This window comes from Homo sapiens, chromosome 12, assembly GCF_000001405.40.
Source record: "Homo sapiens chromosome 12, GRCh38.p14 Primary Assembly".
Classification (NCBI taxonomy): domain Eukaryota; kingdom Metazoa; phylum Chordata; class Mammalia; order Primates; family Hominidae; genus Homo; species Homo sapiens.
The window spans coordinates 4,588,697-4,601,240 of record NC_000012.12 but is presented as its reverse complement, the minus strand read 5'-3'; the positions used below and the strand labels follow the sequence as shown (position 1 = coordinate 4,601,240).

Here is a 12,544-nt window from a genome sequence, read left to right as displayed (position 1 = left end):
ATGGCTAACACTGTATGTGGTGCATTGACTTATTTTTTTCTTCAAACTAATAATATACATGCTTGTATATGAGCATGTGTGAGACACAATAAGAAATAGATATAGGACTTTACCCCTAGTTTTTGGAACAGAGCTCCTAAAACCTTTTTAATTTCTTGAGTGATAGGGGTTCTACATGTATCTCTTGTTCTAATAATTGACCTTTTATCCTGGCTTCTGACACAGAGCTCCTAATCCTTTGGAACTTCTTAGGTGATAGGACTCTCTTTGTTCTAATGAGATGACTCTTGGTGGGCTCCTGAATAGGGGCTGGTTGCCAGAAAGACTAAGCCATGATTAGAAACTTGGAACTTTCAGTTCTAACTCCTTTCTTCTAGGAAGGGGGAAGGGGCTAGAGATTGAGTTAATAACTTCAATGACTATGTGATGACGCCTTCATAAAAATCCCCAAGCTGCAGGATTCAGAGAGCTTCCAGGGTATGGGAAACGTGGTGTTGGGAGGGTGGCGTGCCCCCAAGAGGGCATGGAAGCTTCACACCCCTTCTCAATACTTTGCCTTGTGTATCTCTTCATCTGTGTCTTTTATTATATTCTTTATTAATAAACTTGTATATGTGTTTCCCTGAAAAAAAATTGATCCACCAAATATTTGGAAACATCCATCTAGTAGTCCCGTCTTCAGCCTCAGGAAGCTTCCTCTGACAGCCCTTGCCACCTTAAAAGCTGGTCCCAAAGTCCCTGTGTTGTATATCTTTAACACAGCCTGTGTATATCTCTAATCATTGTATTCACCATATTATTTTTATCTTTCTGTCTCTTACATTAGATAGTAAGCAACCTGAGGACAGGGAATGTTCACTAATTGTTCCTGGTACCCAGGACAGTGACTGACACAAAACAGATCACAAATGTCTGTTGAATGGTACGTGTTCTCTATAGCGAACCTGATAGAAGCCGAAAGAACACAATATTAAATAAAGTTCAGTAAACGCTGTGAAAATGTACTCCAGAGCTACTTTTTTGGATCCTAGCTTGAAAAAGAATAAAACCTAGAGGATCTGGGGCAGTGAATTCCAAACTTCAGAATGACTGTGGTTTCTGAAGCGCAGACTTCTAGCTACTTCCCAGAAATTTGAATTAGGAACAAACTACAATTTTTCAGAGCCCCAAAGCAATTCAGATACACAGTTAGTTAGTTTTGGGGCTCACTGTTCTAGGATAATTCCATATCTACAGAATATGAGAGCTTGAAAGCACCCTTCTAGTATTTGGATACAACTTTCTCAAATTGTAGATGAGGCAACTTGGGCTCAGAGAAGCGAAGCACCTTGTTCAAAATCATACTGGTAGTGGTGACAGCTGAGCGCAGCCTAGAAGGCAGGTGACCTTGTATGTGAAGGGAGAGAAATTGCAATAGGAAAACTCAGATGATGGGACTGACATGGGGCTCACCTTTCTGGTGTTCATAACAGCTTGATCCAAAGTCAATGACTTTAACAGAGGCTTGGCCCTTTTGGTATAGCACTATATTTTCCTAGAGAGAAGAAAAGACATATGTCAAGCTACAGTAATGCGGCCCTAGGCCCTCTACTTACCTAAATGCTCCTCATCCTTCAGGGCCCAGTTCAAATATGACCACCTCCATGGGCATCCTCCCACATCCTCTCCAAAATCCCATCATCCTCCGCTCTGACTTTCCATTTGACTTGTGGTCGGCGTTTCTCATTCAGACCTCATAGTCACTGCTTTGCACAGTTTCTTTTGCATATATTTGTCACTTTCCCCCTATTGATTCTGCAACTCCTGAAGATAGTGACTTTGTTTTTATCTTCTTTGGCACCTGGTTCTAGGCCTTGCTTGCACGGCCTTAGAAATGCCATTGACTGAATTTGTTCGACATTCCCACGAAATGCCCTCCCTTGATATACTGCCATGACAGTAGAGCACCAAAAAAAAAAAAAAAAAAAAAAGTCAAAGGCAATTATTTGATTGGAGTTTGTGATTGTTACACGGCCTGGGGAATAGAATGGGTATTTCCAGAGTGTGTCCATGGCAGGACGGAGATGGTACTCACGGGCTTGAGATCACAGTGAATGATTTTCTCTACCGAAAGCATCTGCAAGCACTTCAAAACAGAGAGAGTGAAGCGCCGAACTATGGACAGACTGAAGCCTTGAAAGTTGTTATTCTTCATCAACTCATACAAGTTGATTCTGGAAAAGAGGGGAAAAGTGATGCATATGGGTGTAAAAAAACATATAAGGCTGAGTTTGAACCTGCAAACAATCTTGTATCACCTGGTTTCCGTCTAGTAGCAGGCAAGCCTCAGGCCAGGAGGCAAGGCTTTCATGCCCTTATAGACTCAGCTTTCCCACTGAATCGTGGTGGGCGCAGGGTGAAACTGTGTCAGACTCTCAGATGTCCCCTCATTTCTGATGTGACAAGGCCACTGAAGCACTTTGTTATGCAGGCGGGTTAAGAGGTTGGCCCAAACTTCTGAAATAGTCATAGTTCCTCAGGCCCTTGGGAGGGAACCAGGAAGCCCACCAGTCACTCAAACAAGCAGCCACTCCTGCCCAGGCCTAATAAGGGCTGTCTAAGGACATGAGGTTCCTGACAAGTAAGGAACAAGAGAGTGGGCAGATGGGGGCTGAGGCCAAAGGGAGCCCCTGCTCCACCCAAAGTGTGGCTGTTTGGTCCCACCTAACTGCTCCTTTGAGAAATGAAAGCTCGCTTTTGCCAGAGAATCTTAAATTCTCTAGGGTGGCAGAAGCCTACTATATTATATGAAGTCTACAGACTTACGAATGTTAGAAACTAATATTAATACAATGCATTGACAAAGAAACATTTATTTGTGAGCTGCCAGTTGCAACCTCTGTGCAAGCTGTGAGATGGGGAGAGAAGGGAAAGAGCATGACTCCAAAATGGCTCTGCAGCAAACTTCTGCTGGTTCCTCCTCATCTTCCATTTCTAAGATCATCTAGCTTTGGTAGTATTTAGCAAGCCACTCATTCTTAATGTTTTTTTAGAGATGGGGTCTTGCTCTGTTGTCCAGGCTGGTCTCAAACTTTCGGACTCAAGTGACCTCCCAACTTGGCCTCCGAAAATGCTGAGATTACAGGTGTGAGTCACCATACCCAGCCAGAGCCATTCATTCTTTTTTTGTTTGTTTGAGACAGAGTCTTGCTCTGTTGACCAGGCTGGAGTGCAGTGGCACAATCTCAGCTCACTGCAACCTCTGCCTCCCACATTTAAGTGATTCTCCTGCCTCAGCCTCTCAAGTAGCTGGGATTACAGGCACGCACCACCACGCCCGGCTATTTTTAGTAGAGATGGGGTTTTTAGTAGAGATGTGTTTTTAGTAGAGATGGGGTTTCACCACGTTGGCCAGGCTGGTCTGGTACTCCTGACCTCAAGTGATCCACCCACCTCGGCCTCCCAAAGTGCTGGGATTACAGGCATGAGCCACCATGCCCGGCCACCATTCATTCTTGAGGGCTGCAATGGAGATGTGAGTCTTGGCTCTGGCCCCATCCTGACTAGTCACCTGGGCAACTCCCTCATCTCTCTGGGCTTTGGACTCCCCCTGCACAGCCCTGGCCCTCTGACCTCCCAGAGCTCTTTTAAGCACAATGACATTCTAACTGTGCACTGTGATTCATGGCCAAGAAAGGCAGACCGAGCTGTCCATTTGGCCACAGAGAAGATAATTTACCTCTGCATATCAGAGACTCGACCACGCTTTGTAATAACCAGAAATGGTGAGGAGAGTGTCACCTTACCTGCTAATTCAAATGTAGCTGGTTCCTAGAATTTCATCGTCAGCAATGGTGTCATGGGGGCAGTGAGCTACCAGCTCGCTAAATCCAGTAACACTCTGAGAGCTCACCCCTGATTATTCTCCTTTGCTAAATGCATTCGGGGTTTCTAGTTTTATATAAATTGCATCAGATGGTCTTCCCAGAGAGAAAAATAATCAAAGTAGCATGCCTTGTCAGCTCCAATATTCAGCCAGGCCACGCCAATCTATTGAAGTCAGGCTCTGCTCTCTTACCAAAAATATCTGCTCTTGTCCTTATTTACTCAAAATCAAAACCCATTTCCCACTCTGAGCAGCCAGCTGCCTGTTCCTTTGGGTTTCAGCCTCTGCACGACCAGGCCAGAAAGCCAATGAGTGGGGAAAATGACTGCAAACAAAGAAATGTCCTTTTTGACTATTTCAGTTTAGCTCTTAAGGAAAGAGGCCTTGTTTTGGTCATGTCACCTGGCTCAGTACCCAGCACCAGGGAAGTACATCATGGGTATGCTGGCAGGTGACAGGCATACCAAGATGGCCTGCTTTCATCCCAACCTCCTTGCTCCTGGGCATTCTGGATAACTGAGTGACTGTCATGTCCATTCTAGTTACTAAATATTCACATCCAGAGAAATCTAGTGTTCTGACCTCAAAAACTATCACTTAGGTAACTTTTCCAGAGAAAATGAGTTAAGAAGAAAAGGCAGCTGACCCCAGGAGCTCAAAGGTGATGCAGAAGTGATTGCGAAAGTAGAAAAAGTCCTTCATATGCACCACATTGTAGGTGTTGTCTTTGTCCTTCTTTCTGAGAGCTTCCAGGATCTTCAGCTCCATCAGGGCCTGCTGGTGAAACCTAAGGTGATTGGGAGTGGCCGGCAGGGTGGGAAATGGGGATAGAAACATCAGTGTCAGGTCCCGCTGCAGCAGTCAGCCCCTCCCCATGACCCCAACAAGACTGTCTAGTGGCAGGAAGCACTAAAAATACCACACTCTCACCTCCTCTTTGCCCCCTCATGGAATCAGACGGGTAGAAAGAGAAAAGGGAAGACAAAAGGGAAGATTGGAGGGAGAGGCACAGTCAGGAAGGGCTGGCATTCTGCAGGGGCCACAGTCACGCAGTCCCTCCTCTGTGGCCTATGTCATCCCCAAGCCACACCTCTTCTTGTTCCTGATGATTTTCAGGGCCACCAGCTCATTGTTTTTGTGATCCAAGCACTTGGCCACCTGTCCAAAGGACCCCTTCCCGATTGTCTCCAGAACTTCATAGCGGTAGGCAATGTGATCATGCAGGACCTGTGGAAGCCAGGCCGGAGGTGAAGAGCAAAGCCATGGGCTCCCAGGCCTTCCTGGTACATGGCCCTGGCATTCCCATCCCCAGATTATGGCTCACTCCTGGAGGAATTTTCTAACTACACTGGGCACTTGTGCGACTCTCGCCCTCATCTCATTGCGACTATGATGAGGAGCTTGTTGCCTGGATTCTGGGCCACCCATGTGGTGCCAGGGAAAGTCCCACAGGCTTGATCCATGTCAAGCAGCACAAAGGACATTGGATGGTTTTAGGAAACTTGGGATCTAGTCCCAGTATTGTAGTTCTAGTTCTAGTCCTCTAGTTTTCTGCATGTTTTAGGACCTATAAAGTAAGAGGGTTGGAAAAAGCGGCCCTGAAAGTCCCTTTCAGTTTGGACATTTTATGAGTCTTGAAGTTAAGCAGCATCTCTGGTTTGGGGGAAGTTTTATTTCTGACCCCTGATGTGTCTCTATCAATTAGAGAAGGCGTTAGGTCTCCTCTCTGCCTCTTCCTGGCCAAATTTGGTTCTCCTTTGGGCTTACTGGGATTTAATCCTATCCTGGAGTTAGCAGTACAGAACTTGGACCTTTCTTGGTGAAGAGAAATATTTCAAGAGCCAGAATCACCCATGTCTCTCCCTATGCTGGAAACTAGGGAGCAGGGGGTTAATCAAAACCACAGGAAATTTTCTATTAAAAATACTTCAGCTTTAGACAAGCAATTTATCCATTCTGAGCTGCAGTGCTATTGTCTGTGAACTGAAGATGCTGGATGAGATTATCTCTAAGGTCCTCAAGCTCTGTGGGTCTCTAATTTCTAGTGTTACACTCATGAGTTTGGGAGAGGTGAAGGATTAAGTGTTTGTGCACAAGTCCTGAGGATGTGTTTGAGAATGTGTGCCAGGGGTCTGTTCATACAGGAGGAATCAAGACTGAATTTGAACACGTACAACTTTCCTGATCTATGCATGTAGGTTAGTCTACTTGTAAGGGTCTGTCATGAGAATGTATGGGAAAAGGACAGGGACAGGATCCACACACATGTTGCTATAAAATTACATATGTGTTTTCTTAGCATTTGTGCTTGCCTTCTGCATGCTACCACTTTGTGTCATAATTGTTCGTTCGCAAGTCAACTTTGACATTGATTATGGTTACTTGAAGCAAAAACCATTTTGTATTCATTTATGATAGCTTCCTTTATATTTCCAGAGTCTAGTAGATGCCCAACTTTATGACAGATTATCAATACATAGGCATTCAATTAACATTTGCTGACAAAATTAAGTGAGAATGCAGCTATGTTGCTTGCTTGGGAATTTGGCTGTGTGCAGTATGTATTTGTGTGTGTACTGGAATGCAATAAGGATGGTGATTCTGAGCTTACGGAGAACACACATTGTCCCTTTCTTCCCCACAACGCCCTCACCAAAAAAAAAAAAGGCTTTTCTAAGATTTGAGACTGAAGAACTGAGTTCCAATGAATTAACTTAAAAGTAGTACTGACACCCTTAGGGAATTCCCCAGAGACCCTAGGCTCAGCTAGGGTGGAGCAGAGGAGGGAGCAGGGAGGGAGGGGTTGAGGAGGTCTAGCTGAATCAGAGTTAAGATTTATACTGGAGATTCCCAGCCAGGCGCAGTGGCTCACACCTGTGATCCCAGCCTTTTGGGAGGCCAAGACGGATGGATCGCCTGAGGTCAGGAGTTTGAGGCCAGCCTGGCCAACACGGTTTAACCCTGCCTCTACTAAAAATACAAAAATCAGCCAGGCGTGGTGGCGGGCGCCTGTAATCCCTGCTACTCTGGAGGCTGAAGCAAGAGAATCACCTGAACCCAGGAGGTGGAGGTTGCAGTGAGCCGTGATCACACCACTGCACTCCAGCCTGGGCAACTCCATCTCAAAAAACATATATACATATTTATATTGGAGATTCCTAACCAAAGATCCACTAACCCCCTATAATTTTATGTATGCGCAGGTTGTCTTTTCTGAGATGAGGACCTATAGCTTTTATCAGGCTCCCAAAGGGATGCTTGACCGAAAATATTGAAAACCCGGGCTCTAGAAGGCAGCTGTGTGACAGAAACGAAATCCTTGCTTCTCAAAGTGTGGTCCAAGCATCAACAGCACAGGCATCACCTGGAAGCTTAGGCCCCAGCCCCAGACCTGCTGGATAAGAACCTGCATTTTAACGAGCTCCTCCAAGTGGTTTGTGTTCACAGTAATGCTAGACAAACACAGCCCTAAATGCTGTTAATAAAATCTGCCTCTTCTATGAGCCATCAGACTCATCCTGTATCTTAAATCCAAGTTGCAATGAAATGTTCCGAAGAGGAAATTCCTGACAGCCCACAGCCTAGTGGACTAAGCAGCACACATCCCAACATGCTCAGCCCTGGGAATCACTGCTCAGCTTTCACCTTAAGGCTGGGAAGAGGCACTGTCCTGGGGAAGCCAAGGGCTACAGTCAGAAGAGGGGGAGGAAGAGGAGCTGCTGGGATTGTTTTTTAAAAAACAGAATGAAATTAAGCTCTATGCACCAGGGTCTACAGTGACAAAAGCTTTTTTGTCTGTGGGGGAAGTGACATCTACTATAAAATAGAAAAGAGTCCATGTATGGGCTTGTATTGAAGAGACAAAAAAGGGAATGTTGGGAAAACTGCTCCTTATTTCAGTCTGGCCTTTTCCAGTGGGCTATGCAGGGAAGGAGCCTGTGGGAGCTCACCCAGGATGCAAACCGGCTACCCCAACTATGCTTGGGGGAAAATTAGTCTTCCATTAGTAGAGTATTTTGCATACTAAATTGCATGCTTCCCCATTTTCAAACATGGTATTTCCTTGGTTTGGCACTACCAGAATACTTCAGGATATCTAGTCTCCAACGTATCAGCCCCAAATACTACAAAATACCGTTGCTTTTTTCCTTTCTAGACTACCTCTTGTCCCTGGGCCCCTGCAGGTTCCCATGGCCCCCACCCCCATCACCTTCAGATAGAAGCCATGCTCATCATCAAAACTCGTCTTGCTAAATTTCTCAGGAGCCGTGTCGAGCTTCTTGGCTTCAAGACCCAGGAACCACAGCTCCGCGTAGCCCAGGATTTCACTTTGTTCATATGGAGACAGCTGGTTCTTAAAAAGCTTTAGGGCCTCTGTGTGAAAAACACTACAATTGTGAGTTCAGTTGAGGCAGCATGGGATTTGCCCCGGATGCAGACGATGGCATCCCTTCCAGGTCACGAGCCATCAGCCTGTTCCCCAGCTGGGTGGCTCACTGAGGACCCTGCATCTGGCATCTCACAAGATGGAAGTATGACAAGAATAAATGTCAAGGTCTTGTATTTATTTCAACAAATCGAGAAAGGAACACAAGGACAGGGGAACAGAGAGCTCAGTTCCCAAACACCTGGGGGTTAGAGCAGCGCAGGTAAAAATTCCAGGAGTCAAATTAGTGTCGACAATAGTATATAGTTTAGGTGGCAAGTTGCCCAAGTTAACGTGGAATTAAGCTATAATTAGTCCGTCTTGAGAGGCTTTGAGAACTGTAATGTCTGCAGGGCCAGACAGGTAACATAAAGGCAACATTAAAGGCCCAGGAGGCTTCACGCTCAAATCTGCAGCTGGATCAGGAAGGACCTCAGATTGCAAGAAGAGATTATGAGTTAGGACTTCCCTACACCAGCCAGATCACATTGGCGCTCTCGTGCGTGGTCAGGGGTAAAATTCACAGTAACTGATGAACTAGAGCATTCTCAGAGAAAAGAAACTAGGATTAGGATAGGGGGCACCATATTATTTGACAAACTGCTGAAGCACTAGAGAGGGAACTGCAAGGAAAAAGAAAAAGACTTATAGGGAACAAGACTTCTGTTTTCATATATGTGAAGGGCAGTCAAGTATAAGCTGAATAAGGCATGTTCTTTGCCCAGAGGACAGAGCCAAGGCATAAGATAGCAGGGGGGCAGATGGCAGCTCTGTGAAGGCAGAACTAGCTCAGGACTGAAATGACCTCTTCATGCATAGTTCCCGGAGTTGTTTAAGAACAACAAGCACCAATTTCAGTTTCTAAGCTGTGGTAGAAGAGCTGTAAAGTGTCTGATGATGGCACACATAGTGGATGCTCGGTGGATTTGGGCTCTCTTCCTTTGCATCCTAATAGGTTATGAGTCTCTGAATCCCATTAAAAGTCTAGCTACTGGCCAAAAACCCATGTGTAATCTTTCAGGCCTGACCACAAGGCAATCCACAAAGGCTTCACCTGGCAAGCCTCACGGGCAAAGCTGCCCTCCCTGCACCAGAGCTGGTGCACAGCCAATGCATTGCAATCTCTGGAGGAAGCTACAGCCAAGGACTGAGACCCCTGGCTGGCCATGCTCTTCTACATGTCTGCATTTCTAATCAAGATCCCCCTACAGAGGCTCCTCTCCAACACCTCCTTATCAAGAGGAAGGAGCAAGCTTCAGCACCCTTTGCTCTGCTCTCAGTATTCAGTACCTTTCCACTCCTGGCTCTTCCACTCTCTCAGTGCCTTCCCGCTGGCCCCTGGGTCCATAAAATGACAGGAGCCTTGTGTCTGGGCTCCTTAGGCAAATGAGACACTTCCTTCTGTCTGCATTGGTACATCCCGCCCTTGCCCAGAGCCACTCCTTGGGGGAAATTCAGCCTCCTATTCAGCCTCTTGCTTATACTACCACAGTCAGAGGTTCAACGCTTAACTTCTACTTTCCTCTTGGCTGGCTGCCTTCTTTGACTACTCTGACACCTGGCAGCTTAGCTCACTCCAGCGCAGCTTAGCTCTTAACACCCCGACCTTCCATAAGCACCTCCCCACCCTGCTACTGCCCCAAAGGCATACCTGCCGCTGTCAGAGTCACCTTTTGCTTCTTTGGTGACTTCTCCTCTGCCTTGGGATCCTGGGTTTTAATGCTAGGGTGGAAAGGTATTTCTGAAGCCTTGAGCTCTGAGGCCGGCATCTGATTGTGAGCTTGATTCTCCTGTCCAGGAAAAGAGGTTTGCAATAAATAACTACTTAGGACTCTCCTGGGGGCCATAAACCATTTATTTAACCAAAGACACCCACCTTCAGCCAGGCTCTTTACCTACCTCTCCAGGGAGAAAACAGCGATTAAGAGACAGAAGGTTCTCCCTACCTCTCTCCCAAAGGAAGCATCTGTCTGACTGACACTATTCCTGGGGAGACCCCTGTACCTTACCGTATGCTGCTGACAACCCCAGCAACATCTCACTATGGGAAGAGATGGGAACAGTTTTTCACTGCTGCTCTTAAGAAGGTGAGCTCCCAACAAGACAAAGTGACTTGCCCAGGAGCACATGGACTTATGTGTGTGTGACGCCTCTTTCAGTTGGCACCTTCGCACCTATTATCTTATTTGGTCCCTACACAAAAGAAGTAGGAGGACATGGGAGGAAACTAATATTTTGTATGGTTCCACCTTTTATGTACCAGCACTTCATTTTTCCTCAATGAATCCTCCTGACAGCTCTAGAGAGGGCCCATTTTGTAGCTAAGAAAAGGTCAAGGACTTATTTGCTCAAGCTTATAGTCATTGTAAAGAATGAGAACAGGACTAGAACCCACCTCTTCAGCAGCTACTGTGCTTTTCCCCACTATCCTGGGCCTTTCTAAAACTGGCTTTGGACTAAAACCAGGTCTTTCACCTGCCTTCTCAGGGTCCAGTCCGTCTGCACTCACCTGATACAGCAGGGATGACTTCAGCAGGACTTTCTTGCTAATGTGTGGGAAGCTTACCGTATTCTTCTTCCCCTTGGTGTCCACAAAGGGGAGTGAAGTAACACTGGTGTTCTGTAGAAGGAGAAATTGCATGTGTTACAAAAGCCTTAGGCAAGAAAACGTCTCCAGGGGTCATTTCTTCCAGCCTCCCTTCCCAATTCCCCAACAAGAATGAGCCTAACCCCAATCTGGACCTAAACCTATTCTTAAAGTTCTTGGCAAGAAATGCAGATTCCAGAGCAGCAGAGTCAACAAACACATGGGCTCTGGGTTTGAGTCCCTGCTCTACTACTTACTAGCTGCAGGCTTTCAACAGCTCACACTGACTCTTTCTCGAAACCTCAATTATTTCATCACTACCATGGGAACAAAAATGGGGCCTACCTCATAAGGCTTTTGTGAGGTAAATGAGTCAATATATAGAGAGTATTCTGTAAGTGCTGGCCATTATTATTATTACTCCAATATCTTACCACCCTAACGCAGGGAAGTTCTTCCTGTTATATCACACAAATCTTCCTCAGTGCAACATAAGCTTCAATTTCCTCTATGACTACATTATTGACTTGACCTACTCACTTGGATCCCTGCCTCCTGCACTGACTGATTGACTGATTAATCAGGAGAGAGGTCAGAAGAGCTAAAATTTGGAAACAACCTAAGTGTCCATCAACAGATGAATGAATAAAGAAAATGTGATACTTAAACACAATGGAATACTATTCAGTCATAAAAAAGGATGAGAACCTGTCATTTGCAAGAATATGGATAGAACTAGAGATCATTATGCTAAGTGAAATAAGCCAGGCACAGAAAGAGAAATATCACATGTTCTCACTTATTTATGGGATCTAAAAATCCAAACAATTTAATTAAGGGAGACAGAGATTAAAAGGATGGTTATCAGAGGCTGGGAAGGGTAGTGGTCAGGGGAGAGGTGGGGATGGTTAATGGGTACAAAAACGTACACTGAATAAGACCTCATGTTTGATAGCACAACAGGGTGACTATAATCAATAGTAATTTAATTGTATTTTATTGTATGTAACACAAAGGATAAATGCCTGAGGGGACAAATACCCCATTTTCCATGATGTGATTATTACACATTGCATATCTACATCAAAACATCTCATGTATCCCATAAATATATGTACCTACTATATACCCACAAAAATTAAAATAAAAACATTTTTAAAAATCATGTGGAGGAGATGGGGCGTGGTGATGTGGAGATGGGGTGTGGTGACGTGGATAGAGTGCTGTCATCATGTTATGATACATTTTATGATAAATTGGCCAAAACTGTCTGTTCAAAGCTACCCTGGCCACCCACCTCTCCTCATTCTCTCCTAGAGAAAAGGAGCTGACCATCACTCCCTACCTTATGAAAGACTTGGGTCATTCTGGAGTTCTTGATATTGGAAGGTGGCTTCTGGATCTGAACCGAAAGTTTACTTCCAACCTGGATCAAGTGGAAGAAAATAGGAACAATGCTTGGCATGGCTTTATCCCACACTGTATATTTTTGTTACATTACAATAAACAAACTATGCTTGAGGCCAGCTCTCCTGAATCCTTAGCTGGGAAGAGCCAAGAGAGGCTCCAATAAGTACTCAATGAATGTATGAATGGATGATTATCCAAACAAATGATCTTTCCCAAAGTGTTCATCCTGGATGGGCTTGGCCTATGGTTTTCATGC

The 12,544-nt window shown here is 45.3% G+C and overlaps 1 protein-coding gene across 6 annotated transcripts in view; it reads right to left on the bottom strand.

The window, feature by feature from the left end:
• DYRK4 (dual specificity tyrosine phosphorylation regulated kinase 4) overlaps positions 1-12,544 on the bottom strand; it is a 51,668-nt gene that overhangs the window by 12,635 nt on the left and 26,489 nt on the right. For 3 of the 6 annotated variants that reach the window (NM_001371301.2, NM_001394779.1, NM_001394780.1), the window contains exons 3-10: positions 12,224-12,304; positions 10,801-10,911; positions 9,943-10,081; positions 8,076-8,239; positions 4,956-5,092; positions 4,512-4,652; positions 2,075-2,213; positions 1,453-1,534 (exon numbers count right to left, since the gene is read on the bottom strand). In NM_001371301.2, coding sequence (NP_001358230.1) covers positions 1,453-1,534; positions 2,075-2,213; positions 4,512-4,652; positions 4,956-5,092; positions 8,076-8,239; positions 9,943-10,081; positions 10,801-10,911; positions 12,224-12,304 — 994 coding nt within the window. Of the gene's footprint in view, positions 1-1,452; positions 1,535-2,074; positions 2,214-4,067; positions 4,653-4,795; positions 5,093-8,075; positions 8,240-9,942; positions 10,082-10,686; positions 10,912-11,021; positions 11,164-12,223; positions 12,305-12,544 lie in introns of those variants that run through there. The other 3 variants (NM_003845.3, NM_001407019.1, NR_104115.2) reach the window with 3 other exon arrangements.